The sequence below is a fragment of the Homo sapiens genome, chromosome 7, assembly GCF_000001405.40.
Source record: "Homo sapiens chromosome 7, GRCh38.p14 Primary Assembly".
Classification (NCBI taxonomy): Eukaryota; Metazoa; Chordata; class Mammalia; order Primates; family Hominidae; genus Homo; species Homo sapiens.
In genome coordinates this window covers 129,006,178-129,027,956 of record NC_000007.14, presented here as the reverse complement: position 1 = coordinate 129,027,956, position 21,779 = coordinate 129,006,178, and the positions used below count along the sequence as shown (strand labels likewise).

The 21,779-nt window shown below is 38.8% G+C and overlaps 1 protein-coding gene across 30 annotated transcripts in view; it reads left to right on the top strand.

The window, feature by feature from the left end:
* Nucleotides 1-21,779, top strand: part of TNPO3 (transportin 3) — a 102,009-nt gene that overhangs the window by 28,237 nt on the left and 51,993 nt on the right. For 20 of the 30 annotated variants that reach the window (NR_167917.1, NR_167913.1, NR_167925.1 and 17 more), the window contains 3 exons: nucleotides 9,800-10,000; nucleotides 10,901-10,974; nucleotides 12,822-12,978. Coding sequence is in view for 12 of the 30 variants with exons in the window: in NM_001382221.1 (NP_001369150.1) it covers nucleotides 9,800-10,000; nucleotides 10,901-10,974; nucleotides 12,822-12,978 (432 nt within the window). In the remaining 18 variants the exon portion in view is untranslated. Of the gene's footprint in view, nucleotides 1-7,961; nucleotides 8,087-9,799; nucleotides 10,001-10,900; nucleotides 10,975-11,565; nucleotides 11,689-12,821; nucleotides 12,979-19,811; nucleotides 19,934-21,779 lie in introns of all 30 variants that reach the window. The other 10 variants (NR_167923.1, NR_167919.1, NR_167927.1 and 7 more) reach the window with 4 other exon arrangements.

Genomic DNA, 21,779 nt, shown 5'->3' with positions numbered 1-21,779 from the left:
TTTATTAAGACTTATTTTGTGGCCTAACGTATCAGTCTTTTTAAGGAGTGGTATATTTCTTGTTTCCTTCACTGGGTCCCAACTCAAGAGTTTGGAGTATTTACCAGGGCTTCTCTTCGATATTTCTGAATTCCAGTTTTTATTTCCCCAGTCTTGAGAGGCTGTCCAGAGCCCTTCAGCTTCTTAGCCTCTTGTCTTCCACTTTCAAATTGGCAAATGCCATGAGGGGAAAAGTGGAGCCAAAGAGTGAACTGAACTCTCTGCTCTTCCATTCCCTTCTTTCTGGGAACTGTGGCCTCATATTTTAGCTTTGGTGTCTTTAAAAAGGTTCTTTGTAGGGAGTATTTAGTGAATTTTTTGTGTTGTTTTTTTTTTTTTTTTTTTTTTTTTTTTTTTTTGAGACAGTCTTGCTCTGTTGCCCAGGCTGGAGTGCAGTAGTGTGTTCTTGGCTCACTACAGCATCCACCTCCCGGGTTCAAGCGATTCTCCTGCCTCAGCCTCCCAAGTAGCTGAGATTACAGGTGTGTGCCACCATGCCTGGCTAATTTTTGTATTTTTAGTAGATATGGGGTTTCACCATATTAGTCAGGTTAGTCTCAAACTCCTGATCTCAAGTGATCTGCCCGCCTCGGCCTCCCAAAGTGCTGGGATTATAGGTGTGAGCCACTGTGCCTGGTCTTAGTGAATCTTTTCTGGTAGTTTATGAATTGATGTAATACCAGATGGTCTGTTATAACCAAAGTTGAAACACCCGATAAATGTCATGAGAGAGATAGCTTTATTGTTTAGGGAGCATATGGACATGAAACTAACTCCTGTGTGTTGTTAAAAAAGCTTTGCTACCTTTTCTAAACAAATTTTACAGAAAAAAATCTTACAGGCCAGGTGTGATTGTTCGTGCCTGTAATCCTAGCACTTTGGGAGGCTGAGGCAGGCAAGCCCAGGAGTTTGAGACCAGGAGATAGCAAGACCTGTCTCTACAAAAAATAAAAAAAAATTAGCTGGGTGCCGTGATGTATGCCTGTAGTCCCAGCTATGCAGGAGGCTGAGGTAGGCAGATCACTTGAGCCCAAGAATTTGAGGCCACAGTGAGCTGTGATGGTCCCACTGCCCTCCAGCCTGAGTGACAGAGAGAGGCCCTGTCAAAAAACATTTTGCAAGATCTGTATCACTTTTTTAAAAAATTGTATATAAAGTACAAGTTATTTTTAATAAACAGGTAATTACAAAAGACACTTTAAAAATATTCAAACAGCCAGGTGCAGTGGCTCATGCCTGTAATCCCAGCACTTTGGGAGACCAAGGCGGGCAGATCACCTGAAGTCAGGAGTTTTGAGACCAGCCTGGCCAACATGGTGAAACGCTGTCTCTACTAAAAATACAAAAATTAGCTGGGTGTGGTGGCACATGCCTGTAATCCCAGCTACTTAGGAGGCTGAGGCAGGAGAATCTCTTGAACCTGGGACGTGGAGGTTGCAGTGAGCCGAGATTGTGCCATTGTACTCCAGCTTGGCCAACAAGAGCAAAACTCCCTCTCAAAAAAAAAAAAAAAAAAAAAAAAATTCAAACGTCATCAAAGGAGCTTGAAAAATAAATCTCCTGTGCATCCCTACCCTCCAAGTTAACCAGTTTTGCATCTCTACCTCTAAGATTACTGGTTTGCCTGGGGGCAAGTAATTGTTTTGTTTTTTTGCTTCTGCCCTTCATTTTTGAGGTCTCTACTTTTAAGGAGATAGAAATGTTTAAAGTCAGAAGTACAGATAATTGAGAATGATATGGTTGGTGTTTTCTGTCATTTAGTTTCTGCACAATTTTTTTTTTTTTTTTTTTTGAGACGGAGTCTCACTCTGCCGCCCAGGCTGGAGTGCAATGGCATGATCTCGGCTCACTGCAACCTTCCCCTCCCAGGTTCAAGCAATTCTCCTGCCTCAGCCTCCTGGGTAGCTGGGACTACAGGCACACACCACCAAGCCTAGCTAATTTTTGCATTTTTAGCAGAGATGGGGTTTTACCATGTTGGCCAGGCTGGTCTAGAACTCCTGACCTCAGGTGACCCACCAGTCTTGGTCTCCCAAAGTGCTGGGATTATAGGTGTGAGCCACTCCGCCCAGCCTACATTGGGATTTTTATTGTTGTTCTGTTTTATTTTCTAAATGTAAACACAGAAACACAATGCAGATGTGTAGCTTAGTGAATTACTATATGCAGATGGCCTTTTAACCACCACCCAAGTCAAGAAATAGAACTTTGAGCACAGGGCTCACACCTGTAATCCTGGCACTTTGGGAGACCCAGGCAAGAGGATTGCTTGAACCCAGAAGTTTGAGACCAGCCTGGATAACATAGTGAGACCCTGTCCCATTTTTATAAAAAAAGAAAAGAAATAGAACTTTACTGGCCATTCCGCTCCAGAAGCTTTTCTTGTACCATTTGACATAACCGCTTCCCTCCCTCTAAAGGTAACCACTGTCCTTTTATAGTAATCCTTTGTGTTTCTTTATGGTTTTATACTTAGTGGCTTAGTGGGCAATCTCACACTTCATAGTTGAGTCCAGCTGGTTTTTTTTTTTTTTTTTTTTTTTTTTTTTTTTTTTTTTTTTTTTTTTGTGACAGAGTTTCACTCTTGTTGCCTAGGCTGGAGTGTGGTGGTACGATCTCGGCTCACTGCAACTTCTGCCTCCCGGGTTCAAGCAGTTCTCCTGCCTCAGCCTCCTGAGTAGCTGGGATTACAGGCACCCACCACCACGCCCGGCTAATTTTTTGTATTTTTAGTAGAGATGGGGTTTCATCATGTTGGCCAGGCTGGTCTCGAATTTCTGACCTCAGGTGATCCACCCGCCTTGGCCTCCGAAAGTGCAGGGGTTACAGGTGTGAGCCACTGCGCCCGGCCTGTTTTTTTATATAATGTATTTTGAGTGTCTTAATCTGCAGGTTCTCTCTGTTGTTTTATTTTATTTTTAAGACTGTCTCACTCTGTAGCCCAGGCTGGAGTGCGTAGTGTGGTCATGGCTCACTGCAGCCTTAAACTCCTGGGCTCAAGGGATCCTTCCCCTCAGCCTCCTGAGTAGCTGGGACTAAGGGGCATGCCACCACACGTGGCAGATTTTTCAAAAATTTTTCATAGAGGCTGGTCTCAAACTCCTGGCCTCAAGTGATCCTCCTGCTTTGGCCTCCCAGAGTGCTGGGGCTACAGGTGTGAGCCACCACACCTGGCCTCTGTAGGTTATTTATCTGTTGAAGTATCAGGGCCATTTGACCTATAGAGTTTCCCACAGTGGATTTTGCTGATTTTATTGTCATGATTCAGTTCTACTCTCCCTTGTTTTTCCGGCAAATTAGCTGCTGGATCTAGAGGCTCAATGAGGCACAGATTTGATTCCCTTGTTATTGTGGTATCTCCTTTCATCAAGAGGCATATAGTGTTTGGTTTTCTGGTGGTTCTAATTGTTTACCACTGTGAAGCAGATTACCCCAAAACTTAAGTGATTTGAAATAAAAACCATTTTATTGTATCTCATAACTTTGTTGATCAGGAATTTGAGCGGGCTCAAATCAGCATCCAGGATGCTGATTGTGCTCCTTCAGTTTTCATCCATTTGGTGGTTGGGCTGGTCTGGAGGTTCTAAGATGGCTTCATTTACGTGCCTGACAGTCTGGTGGGAATGACTGGAAGCCTGGATTCAGTTCGGCCCCTCTAGCTTTCCATGTAGTCTCAGGGCTCTTCCACATTCTCTCCAGCAGAGTAGTTTTAAGTTTTCACAGGCAGTGGCTTTCCTCAGAGTTAAGTGTTCAGGATACCAAGGCAGAAGCTCCAAAGATTCCTTTGACTTAACCTTGAAAGTCCCAGAATGTCACTTCCTGCCATATTCTATCAGTTAAGCAAGGTATCAAGGCCGGTGCAGATTCAAAGGCATGTAGATTCTACCTTTCAGTGTAGGATTAGCATTATATTCGCAGCTATCTTCAATCCACCTCATTCTTTTTTGTGTGTGATGTAACTAGCTGTTATTGTTCAGTGCTTAATCCATTAATTGTGGGTTGTGAAGTGTTAATATTCTAAATCTGTTATTTCTTTACTTACATGCTGTTAGGTTGGTGCCAAAGTAATTGTGGTTGTTGCCATTAGAATACTTCTATAAAGTGACTCTTCTCTGTTAGGTTACTTAGGAGTACAGTTTATATAGGAAAACCAAGATAAATACGTGATTTTTACCCTTGTAAGATAATGAGTTTATGTCTGCTTGTAATTGTTACCAAAAATGGCCTGTGGTGGCCAGTTTGTTTTTTCCTTGTATCCCTTGCTGAATCCTAAATTGTCCTGTCTCTGGCCAGCTGGTTGCCTCCTTTGCCTCTCAGTACTTTTGAAATGACTCTAGTAGTCTTATTGTCTTCTGTCCTTTCTAGTATGACAGGATGTATCATGGGCCCATCTTGTGTATTTAATATTGGTATCTTTTAGTGGGAAATTGAATTTAAAGACTACAATGTAGGCACTAGGGATGCAAGTTGTTACTGAGTTGGACAGTATGTTTAGGGCTTTCAGTGGATAGAGCTAGGGAATTGTATATTTTTATATATCTATATAATATATATAAATTATCTACACGTGTATGTATACAAGTGTAGAAAAGTATGTATATAAATAGTGGGTATAAATACTTAAAGGTAAAATACCTCATGAATTTATAGAGATATTGCCTTTTCAACTACAGCACTATAAAGTTTTTAACTTAAGCCTTTTTATGTCTACACCTCCTTTCTTCCATACTGAGAATCCAGGTTGTGAGGGACACAGAAGGTGACAGAGTATCTTATAATTACTCAGTAGCTCTGTCTCACATTAACCTAGTCAGTAGCCTCAGACTAACAATACTAACACTACTACTATCAGTATATACACCAAAAACAAGCATAGTTTTGCATGTGCTCTCCCCTTTCTTCCACACTGTATCTGTACAGAGCTTGTAATCATTACATACCACTTCTCTTTCGACTTTCATTTATTCTTAATTGTTGTAATAAACTATGTTTAATATTCATCCCCAGTCCTTATGTTGATGCCTTGTTCTCTCTAATCAGTTTGATTTTTTAAACAGATTGTTTAGGAAGGGCTTATAGGAATAATATCTACATTTTTGCAAGTAACAGTTTCTGGCCTTTATAATTGAAAATCGGTTTGACTTGACATAAAATCTTTGTCACATTTTCTTTCTTAGCACATCTTTACCCTGTTCTTTCTTCTTTCATGAAGTGTTCAAGTCACAGTAGATGATAATCTAATTTTTTCCTTTATAAATCAGTTGCTCTTTTTATATAGATGTCCAAATTATTTTATCTTTTTCTTTAAGTATATTAATTTTACCAGATTATGTCTCAGTATTGGTTGTTCTGCGTTGGTATTTTTAGGTATATGATATACTCTTTCAATGTATAGTTTCATGTCTTTCTCCCCTACCCCCCAACATTTCAGAAACCTTTTCTTTTTTTTTTTTAAGAAACGGGGTCTTGCTCTGTCACCCAGGCTGGAGTGCAGTGATGGGATTATATTCATTTATTTACTCTTCCTCTTTTGATAACTTTGATACCAAATTTTTTTAATTAAAAAAATTAGTGGCAGGATCATAGTGCACTATAACCTCAAAACTCCTGGGCTCAAATGATTTTTCCTCCTCAGCCTCCTAGTAGCTAGGACTACAGGCACATACCACCACACCCAGCTAATTTTTAAATTTTTTGTAGAGACAGAATCTTGCTATGTTGCTCAGGCTGGTCCCAAACTCCTGGCCTCAAGTAAGCCTCCCACCTCCACCTCCTAAAATGCTGGGATTACAGGCGTAAACTGCCTTGCCCAACCAGGAACATTTTCTTGAATTACAGTTTTTGATAATTGTTCTGTTTCCTTGTTTTGATTTTCTTCTTCAGAGATCTCTGTTGTCTATATGTTAGATATTTGCCTATGTTCAATATTTGTCATTTCCTCTTAAATGTTTTAAAATTTTTTTGTTTAAAAAAAAACACTCCTTTTCATGTGTTTCTCTTAAGACATTATCTGATGTGTTTAGTCACATGTGAAATTCCTCCTAGTCTTTATCTCTGAAGGGATTTTTTTAATTTCTGATTTTTTTCCTGAGATTTTTACCTAATTTCTGAAATGTTCCTTCTCAATTCTATTCTTCCGTATCTTGTATCATTTTCTTAATGTTGTTTAGCTCATTTTGAAGTAATAGGCTAGGTTTTTAAACCTGTTTTTCTGGTCTTCTTTCCTCGTAAGGTATTACTCTGCTTATTTTCTCTTTCAGCCATATATGACATTTGACCTCAGTTGCTTATTTTCTGTGAAATTAGTTTTTCTGAATTTCTAGAAGGAGGTTTGATTAAGGATAATACTTCCAACCTTTTCTTCCTTCATCTCTATTATACTTGTTCTATATTATTTTGTTTTTTTTCATAGCAGTTTTTCCTCAATTGGGGTCTCTTCCTGACTGTTTGGTTTCAAGGTTTTATAAAGGCTAAACTGTTGGCATCCCCTTCACACTTATACTTACTGGCTATTGGATTGGGTCAAACCTCCTCCTTTTTCTTTCTCTTTTTTTTTTTTTTTTGAGACGGAGTCTCACTCAGCCACCCAGGCTGGAGTGCAGTGGTGCGATCTCGGCTCACTGCAACCACCGTCTCCCGGGTTCAAGTGATTCTGCCGTCTCAGCCTCCCGAGTAGCTGGGATTACAGGCACCCGCCAACATGCCCAGCTAATTTTTGTATTTTAGTAGAGACGGGGTTTCACCATATTGGCCCGACTGGTCTTGAACTCCTGACTTCAGGTGATCTGCCTGCCTTAGCCTCCCAAAGTGCTGGGATTACAGGCGTGAGCCACCGCGCCCGGCCAAACCTCCTCCATTTTCAACTGCCATCCTCAGATTGGCTCCTTGTACTTTCCAGTGAATCTCTGTTGGTTCTTGGTGTTTCTCTGTTCTTAGGTCCAGTAGACACCCTGTTGTTTGCCTCTGCTTCCACATTTACTGAGACTAAAACCACACAGGTCTTACAGATGTCACTGGTTTGTCTCCTTCCACTTATATTTTGGGGTTCTTGTAGATACCCTTGGAGATAACTAGACAACACCTAGTTTTGTTGCTATCTAATGCTCTGTTTTTTTTGAGGGATTTGTGGAGATTGTATAAAGCTTCATAGAATCTTTTTGCTATTTAAAAATATATCAGCTAGGCATGGTAGCTCACGCCTGGAATCCCAGCACTTTGGGAGGCCAAGGCAGGAGGATCACTTGAGTTTAGGAGTTCAAGACCAGCCTGGGCAACATGGCGAAACCCCATCTCTACAAAAAAATACAAAAATTAGCCGGGTGTGGTAGCAGACACCTGTAGTTCCAACTACTAGGGGGCTGAGGCAGGAGGATCTCTTGAGCTCAGGAGGTTGAGGCTGCAATGAGCTGAGATCGTGCCATTGCACTCCAGCCTGGGTGACAGAGCGAGACCCTGTCTCAAAAAATAAAATAAAAAGATATTAACATGAGCAAAGTAAAGATATTCTGATGGTCTATTAAATCATAGGTGTGCTTGGGTTACTGGTTAATCAATGGCTAAAATCTTTGGAAGATTTTTTTACTTGAGAAAGGAAAATTGGTGCTATTAGTACTACATTAATTAATTAAACATTTGTTGAATACATTTAAGACACGATGTTTGGACTAAAAAGTACAAAAATTAGTAAAATATACTATATCTGTAAAGAAGTTAACACCTCATGCTTACTTTGCACCCCTTATTTCATTGAAAGCTAAGGTTGGGGTTTTTTGGTGGGGGGCGGGAGGGGTGGTTTTTTTAAAAACAGGGTCTTACTCTGTTGCTTGGGCTCAAGTGATCCTCTCGCCTCAGCATCCCAAGTAGCTGGGATCACAGGTGCATGCCACCATGCCCAGCTAATTTTTTATTTTTTATTTTTTAAGTTTTTTTAGGGTCTCACTCTCACCCAGGCTGGAGTGTGGTGGTGTAATCTCGGCTCACTGCAACCTCTGCCTCCTGAGTTCAAGCTATTTTCCTGTCTCAGCCTCCCAAGTAGCTAGGATTGCAGGTGAGTGCCACTACACCCGCCTAATTTTTTTGTATTTTTAGTACAGACCGGGTTTCACCATGTTGGCCAGGCTGGTCTTGAACTCCTGACCTTAGGTGATCTGCCCGCCTCTGTCTCCCAAAGTGCTGAGATTACAGGTGTGAGTGACTGTGCTGGGCCCCAGCTAATTTTTAAATTTTTTTGTAGAGGCACGGGGGTCTTGCCATGTTGCCCAGGCCAGTGTCAAACTTCTGGGCTCAAACAATCCTCCTGCTTTGGCCTCCCAAAGTGCTGGGATTATAGGTATGAGCCACACGCCCAGCCTAAAGCTAAGTTTTATGTCAGTAAATCTGTAATTAGGAAATTCAGGGTCTTTATTTTCCATTTACTTTAGGAACTTGTACAAGCCATTTATTCTACCTGTTTCTATATCTTAACTTGCTTCGTATCAATCTTTGGAAAGATCTTGAAGGATACACAAGGATTATGTATTACTTGTGAAGAGCTCTGTCTTCATAAGAAATTGACCCCTTCTCTTTACAATAGACACTATTCCTAAATTGAGGTTGAAATTTTTTTCAGTCCATTATTGCCAGTCCATGTTAGTCTTCTTCCAGAGGCTGTTGAGTGTAGAATTGGATTAGAATTAATCTAATTAATTAGTTGTCTACAATCTACTGCACGATATTGTTTCCAAAGTTGTCTTCAAAATATGACTCCCCTTTATAATTGTGACTGGCTACTAGAGAGCAGATTTTATACTTTGGTTCTTTTTATTATGTCTATAGATAAGTTTATTTTTCCATTGAAAATGATTTCAGTAACATGTGTAGCACTTTGCCAAGTAGTAATACATCAGAAAATAATTGAAGGGGCCAGGCACGGTGGCTCATGCCTGTAATCCCAGCATTTTGGGAGGCCGAGGCAGGGGGATCACCTGAGGTCAGGAGTTCAAGATCAGTCTGGCCAACATGGTGAAACCTCGCCTCTACTAAAAATACAAATATTAGCTGGGTGTGGTGGTGCACACCTGTTATCCTAGCTAATCAGAAGACTGAGGCAGGAGAATTGCTTGAACCTGGGAGGCAGAGGTTGCAGTGAGCCTAGATTGTGCCACTGCACTCCAGCCTGGGTGACAGAGTGAGACTCTGTCTCCAAAAAAAGAAAGAAAATAATTGAAGGATGTGAAATATTTACTTGAGCCAACATAGTTTTTCTGCTATTTTGTCGGGAACTAATAATTGAAATGTAGGGCTACTGAGACCAATATGAAGTATATTCTCATATTTATAGATATATTAAAACAGCTTCTGGATTCAATTCTTAGAGTGAACAAAGCTTTATTTTAAGCAAGAAAAGAGAAGAAACATGCAGCCATAGATTAGGATTGGAAATTATACAGTGACATTTTAGTTTAGTGGAGACTTTTGGGACATTTTTCTTCATACTCTTGACACCCACACAGTCATTCAAATCAACAAGATTGTATCTACTAATTTAACTGATAGCTCTCATGCCTTCCTAGAATGAGTCAGATTTTAGGTAATTATTTTGTTGAACAGGGCCTATAACAATGTATATTGAACTGTTGGCTGAATTACTGGGTAATTTAGCTTGTCAGATTTTTCTTTCTTTATACTTTGGGCTAAATATGTTTATATAAGTATTGAGGTTATGTCATTAAAATTAGAAAAGTAGTCTTCTTTAAGACATCTTTGTCTAATACGCTTTCAGGTTCATGCATGGGAGATCTCAGACCAGTTGTTACAGATCCGGCAGGATGTGGAGTCATGCTATTTTGCTGCACAGACCATGAAAATGAAGATTCAGACCTCATTTTATGAGCTCCCCACAGACTCTCATGCCTCTTTACGGGACTCATTGCTAACCCATATCCAGAACTTGAAAGACTTGTCACCTGTTATTGTAACGCAGGTAAATCCTGTGCTTCTCATTAGAGAAATTTGTATGGCCATTTGGATTTATCAGGATTGTTTTAATTCGTATTGCTAGGCCATGTGAGGTAATGTTAACTTCATTACAGATGTACTGCTATGTTCTTGTAAGTGGATAGAAAACGAAATTGTTAATCTTTTGTATTAATCTTGGAGTTCATTTGGTTTCAAACTAACTTGATACCAGAAGTGGATAAGGTGAGTATGTGTTTTCACAGGCATGCTAGGTCAGAGGTTTAGGTAGTTGCCTTTTAAGAAATCCTTTCAGGGCTGATTGGCTTTAGTAAAGGTCTCATGAATGAAACGTTGAACTAGAGCATCTGTCCTTTCCCCCTTGGACAGGGAAATACATTAGATAGGAAAACTGGAAACTTCTGTGAGTACGTACTCACATGTGTTCTCTGCCTGGCATAGAAGTGCCCTTAAAGAGGAGGCTTTTCTTAAGTCTTCAAGATGACAAATGCAAAGAGAAGGGAAATGGCAATCCATTACTTGAGAACTGAGTCAAAGGTCTGACTTTATTAGTAGCTTTGACCTTTGGCATAGTATAATTTATATGTCTGTGAAGTTCTGTGGTATTGCCAAATAAAAGTAAATATTGATATATTTTGAGGAATGTCTATAGTCTGTTGTTTCTGACTTCTTTTCTTTTCTTTTTTTTTAGTTTTTAAAGGTTAACTCTTAAATTTCAGCAATTTGTAGCTAACCCAAAAAAGTTTACATCAGATGTATAGAATTGGAGGTTGGGAGAAATGGGGGAAGGGGGTTAGTCTTAGTTGTCATATTGTTTGGAAGAAATGTTTCTTTGCTTCCCAATTAATATTTATTGTGACCCTATTTCTGTTCATCTGTCTTCATTTATTTAATCTCTCTTATTCAGCTGGCTTTAGCAATAGCAGATCTTGCCCTACAGATGCCTTCCTGGAAGGGATGTGTGCAAACACTGGTGGAAAAGTAAGTAATTTGTATTGACTCTATATTAGCATTTGGAATTGCCATTAACCTACACAGAGAAATTTGTTAGCAATAGCTAGATATTTGACTATTTCCCTGAACTCTTAACATAGAATTATGTTATTAACCTTTGTTAGATTAAATGAAACTTATCTAAAATTTTAAATACTACTGAAATATATTGTGTGGGATGTAAAAGACTAGTGATTTATGTAACACACACTTCTTGAATTAATTGCAGCAAAGTCTTTTATTGCCTTGTGGATCACTCTCACTAACTGGCATGACAGCCATTTTGTAAAAATATAGAATTTAAGATTATATTAAATGGGAGGTTGTTATGAATATGTGTTCTTACTAATTGGAGTTTGTTTCACGTTTATCAGAGGGGCAATATTCTTTTTAGACACACAGAGCTTGCTACTTTGAAACAAGTATTCCTTCTGGGTCCTGGCAAGATAACCTTGATATTTGCTTGCATTTGGTTGGGAAGTTATTTTTGAACAAAGTAGAATTACTTTTTACCTCCAATATAGTGTGTCATTAAAGCATTTTACGGATAACTTATTATTTATTTTATTTTATTTTGAGATGGAGTCTCGCTCTTGTTGCCCAGGCTGGAGTTCAACGGTGCGATCTTGGCTCACTGCAACCTCCACCTCCTGGGTTCAGGTGATTCTCCTGTCTCAGCCTCCCAGGCGGCTGAGATTACAGGCATGTGCTACTACGCCTGGCTAATTTTTATATTTTCAGTAGAGGCGGGGTTTGGCCAGGCTGGTCTCAAACTCCTGACCTCAAGTGATCTGCCCACCTCGGCCTCCCAAAGTGCTGGGATTACAGGCGTGAGCCACCTCATCCAGCTTGGATAACTTTTTTAAAAATTATTTTTATTTTTTTGGAGACACAGTCTTGCTGTTTCACCCAGGCTGGAGTGCAGTGGCACAGTCATGGCTCACTACAACCTCAGCCTCGACTTCCCGGGCTCAAGTGATCCTCCCACCTCAGCCTCCTGAGTGGATAGCTTATTTTTTAAATAAAATTTTTATTGGGGAAATTGATACATGCTCCTTGAAAAAATTCTAACAGTATGGAAACCTTCAAAGTGCAAAATGAACCCCGTCCTCTCTCCCTATCCTTATATTTTATTTTTGAAACAGGGTCTCACTCTGTCACCCAGGCTGAAGTGCAGTGGTGTGATCATGGTTCACTGGAACCTGCAACTCTTGGGCTCATGAGATCCTTCTGCCTCAGTCTCCCGAGTAGCTGGGATTACAGATGCATACCACCATGCCTGGCTGATTAAAAAATTTTGAATGTAGAAACGGTCTCCCTGTGATGCCCAGGCTGGTCTCGAACTTGTGGACTCGTGATCCTCCTGCCTTGGCCTCCCAAAGTGCTGGGATCATAAGCATGAGCCACCACAACTGGCCCTTAACCCTGTATTTTATAAGCAACCACTATTAACAATTGGCTATGTAGAGTTTCCTTTATGCATTTTAAAATAAATAAGTGCATATATATTTTAATGTACATATACCTATATATTTGTTCACCCATATTCAATATGTTTCATACATGTTTTTCACTTACTACATTATGGACTTTTTTTCATGTTAGGACATATAGATATCATGTTCATTATAATGGCTATGTTTCATTGAATAACTGTGTCCTTTTTTTAATCTTAACTAATTATGGAGGACATTTATGTTTGTATCTTTTTTCTCCCCCTTAACAGTGGTGGGAATGTTGCTTTTGTTGTTGTGAGTTACTCTGATGGCTGTTATCTTATGTGATTGTGTATTTTCTGGCTATAAATAACATATCTCCACTTTTTTCTTTTGCAGATACAGCAATGATGTGACTTCTTTGCCTTTTTTGCTGGAGATCCTTACAGTGTTACCTGAAGAAGTACATAGTCGTTCCTTACGAATTGGAGCTAATCGGCGCACAGAAATTATAGAAGATTTGGCCTTCTACTCTAGTACAGTAGTATCTCTATTGGTGAGTAAGTTTGAAATACTAAGTTGCTGCATAAAGGCAGAAAGCCATGGCGGTTATTTTGTAATCAATTGCATTATTGTGAAATAGCTTTCTTTGCAAAATTTAATGATGATGCTTTGGTATTTATGTAACACCTTACCATGACAACATACTTTCAGAAACTATGCTTTTTAAGTTTCTGTATAATCCTCTAAAGGTGACGTTATCTCTTTTATGAATGAAAAATGGACTTTAGAGTTACACAACTGTTAATTCAGAATTGGAACTAAGGCCATCTCATTATTTATCTTGTGCTCTTCTACTGCTTAATGCTCCAAACTGTTGGCTGTTAATAAAGGATCATGCAAAGGGAAGTGTGTATAAATCTACTTTACTAAGAAAGGATCCTTTCTTTTTTTTTCTAATTGATACATGATAGTTGTACATATTTATGGGGTTACATGTATTACTTTTATTTTTTGAAGCAGGGTCTCTGTCTCCTAGGCTGTAGTGCAGTGGCATGATCTCAGCTTACTGCACCCTCCTCCTCCTGGGCTCAAGTGATCCTCTCACCTCAGCCTCCTGAGTAGCTGGGACTACAGGTGTGCGCCACCATGCCCAGCTAAATTTTTTATTTTTTGTAGAGATGGTGTCTCTCCATGTTGCCTAGGCTGGCCTCGAACTCCTGACCTCAAGTGATCCACCTGCCTTGGCCTCCCGAAGTGCTGGGATTACAGGCGTGAGCCACTGTGCCCAGTGACATGTATTATTTTTGTCCAAGTATGTAATATGTGATGATCAGATCAAATCAGGTGATGATCAAATTGAGATATCCATCACCTCAAACCTTTATCATTTCTTTGTGTAGGGAACATTCTAAATCTTCTCTTTCAGCTATTTTGAAGTACTCAATAAATTATTAACTATAGTCACTCTGTTTTGCTGTGTAACACTATAACGTATCCTTTCTATTCAGCTGTATTTGTGTACCCGTTAATCAACCTTTCTTGGTCGTCCCCTCCCCGTTACCCTTCCTAGCCTCTGATCACCGTCATTCTACTCTTTACCTCTATGAGATCCATTTTTTTTCACTCCAACATAGCAGTGAAAGCATGTGATATTTGTCTTTCTGTGCCTGGCTTACTTCACTTAACATAATGTCTAACAGTGCCGTCCATGTTGCTGCAAATGACAGGAGATTTTATTCTTTTTGTGGCTAACGAATATTTCATTGTGCACCTATACCATTGTTTCTTTATCCATTCAGCCGTTGATAGGTACTTAGGTTGATTCCATATCTTGGCTATTGTGAATAGTGCTGCAATAAACATGGGATTGTAGAGATCTTCTTGATATACTGGTTTCTTTTCTGGGTATTTACCCAGCAGTGGGATTGCTAGATCGTATGGTAGTACTATTTTCAGTCTGTTGAGAAACTTCCGTACTGTTTTTCATAATGACTGTACTGCTTTACATTCCAGAGCGTTCCCTTTTCTCTGCATCCTTGCCAGCATTTGCTATTGATCTTTTGCCCATTTTTTAATTTTTAATTTTTTTTTTTTTTTGCTATTATTTGGGTTTCTTATATATTGTGGTTACTAATCTCTTGTTGGATGGGTAGTTTGCAAATATTTCCTCCCATTCTGTAGGTTGTCTCTTTACTTGGTTGATTGTTTCTTTTGCTGTGCAGAAGCCTTTTAGCTTGACCTTTGTCGACTTTTTTTGCTTTAGTTGCCTTTGATTTTGAGGTCTTACTTAAGAGATCTTTGCCCAGATCAATGTCCTGCAGCATTTCCCTAATGTTTGCTTGTAGTAGTTTTATAGTTCACATCTTACATTTAAGTCTTTAATCCATTTTGATTTGATTTTTGTATATTATGAGAGATAAAAGAAAGGATTGTCTCTTAAAGATGAACTGAAAGGTGATAGAAGATTTTACTTGACCTTTGAGGAGTATCGCATTATGGATGAGCTAATACACATTTTTTAAAAAATTAGATGTGATTAAGCTCCTTTCAGTTAGTTGACATTTTTAATACTCTAGAGCAGGAGTGTGTAAATCTATAGTTTATGGGTTGGCTGCCTCTTTTTGTAAATAAAGCTTTGTTGGAACACAGTTATGCCCATTTGGTTATATTTTGTCCATTATTTTGGTCTACATCAGCATAATTGAGTATTTTTCAGAGACCATATGGCTTGCAAAGTGTAGACGGTTTATCTGGTTCTTTATAGAAAATGTTTACTGGTTCCTAAAGTAGATGCTAATAAATTGATTAGCCCATATCTCATTTTTAAGTCTTTATAGTCCAGCTTAATTTTCTCAATAATGTGGATACAGGTTGAATATCCCTTACTGAAAGGCTTGGGACCAGAAGGGTTTAGGGTAGGGTAAAAAAAGTAGTATTTAGGATTTCTGAGTTTTTAAAATTTTGGAATATTTGCATTATACTTTGTGGTTCAGCATTCCTAATCTGAAATGCTCCAGTGAGCATTCCCTTTGAGCGTTATGTTGGCACTCAAAAAGTTTTGGATTTTGGAGCATTTTGGAGTTTTGGATTAGGGATACTTAACCTGTAGTAAATTATTTTTCAGAGATGTGTTTCAGTATAGCAAGTTCATAGATCTTTTAGTTTGAAAAAAAATTAAAATTCTATTAAAAATTGTGTTCAGTTTTGTATTAGAAATTCATTGGAGGGCTGGGTGCAGTGGCTCACCCCTGTAATCCCAGCACTTTGGGAGGCTGAGGCGGGTGGATTACTTGAGGTCAGGAGTTTGAGACCAGCCTGGCCAACATAGTGAAACCCTGTCTGTACTAAAAATACAAAAATTAGCCAGGTATGGTGGTGCACTCCTGTAGTCCCAGCTAGTCGGGAGGCTGAGGCAGGAGAATCTCTTGAACCTGGGAGGCGGAGGTTGCAGTGAGCCAAGATTGCACCACTGCACTCCAGTCTGGGCAACAGAGGGAGACTCCATCTCAAAAAAAAAAAAAAAAAAAAGAAAGAAAAAGAAAAAAGAAATTCATTGAAAAATAATTCTTTTAAGTTAAATATATGTTTTTCACTTAGCCATTTATTTTAAAGAAATAGTTTTATGGAAAATTAGAAAATATGTACAGCAAATTTCACTCAAACCATCTGGAGATCATACAGTTAACCCTTTAATACATATCCTCTATGAACATATTTATGGATATATATACAGATTTTTTAAGCCCAAATGAAGTTATACTTTACTTATTCTTCTGCATCTTGCTTTTTCAGTCATCTGCTTACCTTTTCAAGTTAGTAAGTTTTCATATCATCTGATAAACCCAGACCATATTCACATTTCACCAGTTGGTCCTAAGATATTCTTTACAGGCTGGGCGTGGTGGCTCATGCCTGTAATCCCAGCACTTTGGGAGGCCAAGGCTGGCAGATCACAAGGTCAGGAGCTCGAGACCATCCTGGCCAACATGGTGAAACCCCGTCTCTACTAAAAACACAAAAATTAGCTGGGCGTGGTGGCATGCAGCTGTAGTCCCAGCTACTCGGGAGGCCAAGGCAGGAGAATTGCTTGAACCCGGGAGGCAGAGGTTGCAGTGGGCCGAGATGGCACCACTGCACTCCAGCCTGAGCGACAGAGTGAGACTCCATCTCAACAAAAAGAAAAAACAAAAAAAGATACTTTTTACAAAGAATATCCAATCTGTAACTATGCCTTGTATCAGGTTCTTAGTCACAGTCCCACATTCTGTTCCTTGTTTAAAATAACATGACTTGTTGAAGAGATTGTACCAGTCATTTTATAGAATTATCTTACCTTTATGATTTTCTGATTGCCTCTCCTTCGTTTCCTTTAGCATGTTTTTCTTTTCTCTGTATTTCCTCTAATTGGAAGTTGTATCTAAAACAGCCCTTCTCAGTAGGGGTTCCTCAAGAGAATTAAGCCTAAAGCTATTCGTTATATGTAATGAATTCTTTCCTCTACATTAATAATGGTTCTAGCTATATACCGCCCTTAGGATAATTAAGAAGATGGGCACTCAGATAATTTTCTGAAGGGCTTAATTCTATACAATTTTTTTTTTTTGTAGATATAGAGCTTCTCTATGGTCTCAAACCTGGTCTCAAGTGATCCTCTCTCCTTGGCCTCCCTTAATGATGAGATTACAAACGTGAACCACCACACCCAACCTATAGGATATAATTCTTTCCTAGAATCCTGATTGAGAAAAACTGAGAGGCTTAGAGGATTAGTTTTTTAAAGTTAAATATTTTGGGCTAGAATATATCATAGGTACTTGATGCTATGTCTTAGTATATATACAGCGTTCAGTTGACCTTCTATTAGTGATGCTAGGGTTGACCACTGGATTAAGATGAAAGTCTGTTCCTTCCATTTTTAAAGTTCACTTTCCTCCTTTGTAATATAATGTAGTTTGTGTGATGGTAGCTTGTTAGTTTATGAATGTTCAATTCCCTATCAGACTTTAGCCTAATTGTTTTACATTCCAGTAGATAATCCCTACCTTAATCAATAATTTCATTATGGGCCAGGCAATGTGGTTTATGCTTATAATTCCAGCACGTTGGAAGGCTGAGGTGGGACGGTTGCTTGATGTCAGGCATTCAAGACCAGCCTGGGCAACATAGCAAGAGCCTGTCTCAAAAAAAAAATAATACATTAACCAAGCATGTTGGCATGCACCTGTAGTCCCAGCTACTCAAGAGGCTGAGGCAGGAAGGATCACTTGACCCCAGGAGTTCAAGGTGGCAGTGAGCCACGATTGTGCCAGTGCACTCCAGTCTGGGCAACAGAACAAGACTGTCTCTAAAAATAATAATAATTTCATCATGGGTTGCAAAATGATATTTGACTATTTCTGTTATTTCTTGTACATATAAGTTGGCATTCTTATGAGCTCCTACTAGAAAGGTAGGATAAATCTTAATTCTTTTCAAAATGAGGATTTATTTTAAAGCTGCCTTGAATTTTTTTTTTTCTGGCTTTGTCTTTTTGAAGTATGATGGACTCATGTTCATTTAGGTCCAACCAGGTGTCTCCTTTCCAAGTTTCAGAATCCCATTCTTTACCAGTCAGTTTCCTAACTTTCACATGAGAAGTGTGGAGGGACTGTAAATTCACCTGTTGTTTGTAATTCAGCAAGTCACACAACTAAGTTTGGTATACGAGTTTCAGCAGTACTAACTTTGTAGCTACAAAAAGTAAGAGCTGCTTTTAGACTGGGCGTGAAAGCTGTGGTGCTCAGACTGTGGCCTGAGGTGAGAGTTAATGGACTTGAATTTGTCATTTTCTTTTTGTAAGCACTTGTGAATTTAAAATAATCCCATCCACATGTATTTTGTGTCATGGTTACTGCCACAGCAGTCAACTACAGCAGCCACTTGGGCATTCAAGGCACGTGCCTGACTTAGCACATCATGACAATCAATCACAGGTGATATTTTGAGGAACTGTGATGCAGTCTGAAAAATATATTTCCTGTGGTGCTTAAAAATGTCTCTAATTTTGTCATGTAGCTTGTCATGTTATAGAACCCAGGGGATGAAATTAGTCCAAAATGGCCAAGAAAAAAATAGGCATGTGGCTGTAATGCCAGGTTCCAAACCCCTCTTAAGACCTTTTCTCATTTAGTTTCCTGCACACTCTCCTTTAATGATTACATTCTGTCCTATTTCTTGTTAGTATTATACTTTTGTGGTCTGTCCTAATGGACCCATTCCTAAACATGGTGTTGAACTTTTTGAAGTTTTAAACGTGTTTCTGCTTGCTCTCATAGCTAAACTGAACCTGTGCTTCTAACATTTTTGTCTCTTCACTTTCTATTTTGTTAATCTAAGATCTCAATTCTTATTTATCCCTGCTATCTTTTTACTGGTGAGCTCTTCTGGACTCTGTGGCATTTATCTTGAAGCTTTTGAGGACTTTAAGAGGCAGATTTTTAACATAGCATAGCTCTCAAAGAGGAACAGAAGATAACTGTTAGTTCTGATGTTTTAGAATGTATGTTTGATTTAATTTGCAGAATTTCATCTTTTCAAAGAGATTAGTTTTAGAAACAGGTTTTTTTCAGAATTTGGTCTTTCAGTTTGAGTCAATAGTTAGAATGTACAAGCAAATCCTTCCACTTGTACACATCATGTCTTATTAAAATTGAAATATCATTCAGGAAGTCTAAAGGCCAAGTGATTATGTAATGAGTTTATATCAACAGCATCAAAGATTCAATTGAGAGTTTGAGACAGGTTGAGGGGGAGAGAGAATGAGTATCAGCTCTTAAAGAGAAATCTCTCAGTGGCTCCAGTTCATGTTAAGGGAACTTAGTTACTCCGTTCATTTTGCTACTTTCAGCCTTGAACCGTATTAAATTAAGTGCTCCTGTGCATTTATTAGTTTACGTATTACATATTTAAATATATTGCATATATTAGTGTCATAGTCTTTTCTAAAAATTCTGGCCATTTTAGTGCCTGGCATCCCTGAATATTTTCTTTCTGAGTTTCAGGGGAACAAAGAAAGTCTTGAGTAAAAAATATCTAGAAGAACTTAATGGGGCCAGAACCATATTTGTGACATTTTCTTATCTCATCTAGTGTGTTTTCTGGTGACTTTTAAAGTGTTGTTTTATTTTTTAATTTTTTTGTAGAGACAGGGTCTTAACTTTGTTGCTCAGATTAGTCTAGAACTCCTGGGCTCAAGCGATCCTCCCACCTCAGCCTCCCAAAGTGCTGGGATTACAGGTGTGAGCCACTGCACGCAGGCTCTGATGACTTTTTACAAATACTTTCCCCTCTAAAGCAAGGGCTCTTAGTTCTTTCCTTTCCTGCCATTCTTCCTTCTTTTTTTTTTAGACAGAGTCTTGCTCTGTCGCCCAGGCTGGAGTACCATGGCGCAATCTCAGCTCACTGCAACCTCTGCATCCCAGATTCAAGCAGTTCTCCTGCCCCAGCCTCCTGAGTAGCTGGGATTACAGGTGCGTGCCACCACACCTGGCTAATTTTTGTATTTTTAGTAGAGACGGGGTTTCACCATGTTGGTTAGGCTGGTCTCAAACTCCTGACCTTGTGATCCACCCACCTCAGCCTCTCAAAGTGCTGGGATTACAGCCGTGAGCCACCACACCCGGCCCCTGCCATTCTTCCTTCTATAAATACTTGGATATTTACTCTGTGCCTCTTGTGGCTTTAGATAGTGACAGATGTCTCAGAAGTCTATATCCTAGACATAAACTTATGTGTATACTCATAGTTACGTGGTTAATTTCTCTGCAAGTTAGCTGCAACTCCACCTTTTTCCAACAAGCATATATAATGCAATATGCACAATAAATGAAAATGAGCGGAAGTGAGTCTGCATTTAGTTAGCAATCAAGTTCTGATGTTATTCATTACAAATGATGTATACTTCAAGCTGACATGCTTAAAACTAGTAAAATAGTTGGTTCATGTGTGATAGATGATTCTGTTTCCCCATGCTGTTAATATTTCATGGCTTTCTTTGGTAATACACGAATCATTATCCAGGTAAATTAGTATATAGCTAGTTACACTGATAATAATGTATAATATTAGTAAGATAGATTATTGTTGCAGTCTGCCTAACTTTACAGGCTTTTGAAATATAGGAAGTCCTTGATATTAATCATATCTTTGTTCTATGTATGTAAGCAAGTTTGGGAGGTAGCTATCGTGTAATGGTTAAGATCATAGACTTTGAAGCCAGACTTCTTAAGTTTAAGTCCTGGCTATGCTGTTTCCTACCTGTGCCATATTGGGCGAGTTACTTGACTGTCTGCCTCAGTTTTCTCATCAGTATAATGGGGATAATAGTATCTGTTTCATATTGTGGGGATTAAATGATTTAATACATATAAAGCTCTTAAAACAGTGCCTGGTGCACAGAAAGGGCTCAGTAAATGTTGCAATGACTGGTCAGCTTATTTTTCATGTACTTTTCTTCCTCCCCCTGAAATGTAATGGCCTGGAAGAGAGAGAAGAAATAGAAAGAGTCAAGTATATTAATATACTTGGACTTCCTTTCTTCTGTCTTCTGAGAAGGAAAGGTGGTTTTTTGTTTTGTTTTGCTTTGTTTTAAAGGTAGCTTCCAGACCCGAATATCTTAAATAGCCTTCTGTGGGAATGAGCTGGTATACAGTCATTCATTAACCCCTCACTTCTCTTCATCTTAGCAACCTAGCATTCTTTGGAGCACAATAATAAAGACAGTCATCTTCAATGTAGGTTTATGTAGTAGATGAAGCTTTGAACTTGGGAAATTTTCCTGTGTAGTTTATATCTGCATTGTAACCACAAATATCACTATTTAGATCTTATTTAATAATACATTATGGGATTTCACCCCCACTCTCATGCCTCCTGAACCCCATGGAAATTATATTTCTAACTCATTGCTTGCAAGAGCTTTTTTTAAAACATTCTTTGCCTAGAAAAAGATGCATTACATTTTACTTTGGAAAAAATATATATCACAAAAACAGACTACAAGGAGAAACATTGAGTTTTAGTCTAATTCTGTTTTATCTCTTTTATAGTATTTATAGTAGTATCACTTTCTGTGGGATGACATGTTTATTATTCTATTGCCAAAGCTGAAACATTAGCTTTTCTTGTGGAAATATACAGTGGTATGCCTAGCTTACTCTAGCTTATTATCTATTCTGTATCAACCAGGTATATAAGTAAGTAAATTACTTGTAAAATAATTTTTTGGATAATGCAGAAGTGGGAACTAAGAAATTAGTAAGTTATTTCTGAAACAACTTGGGTAAGTCTGTAACCTCTCTCTACTTCAGTTTTCCC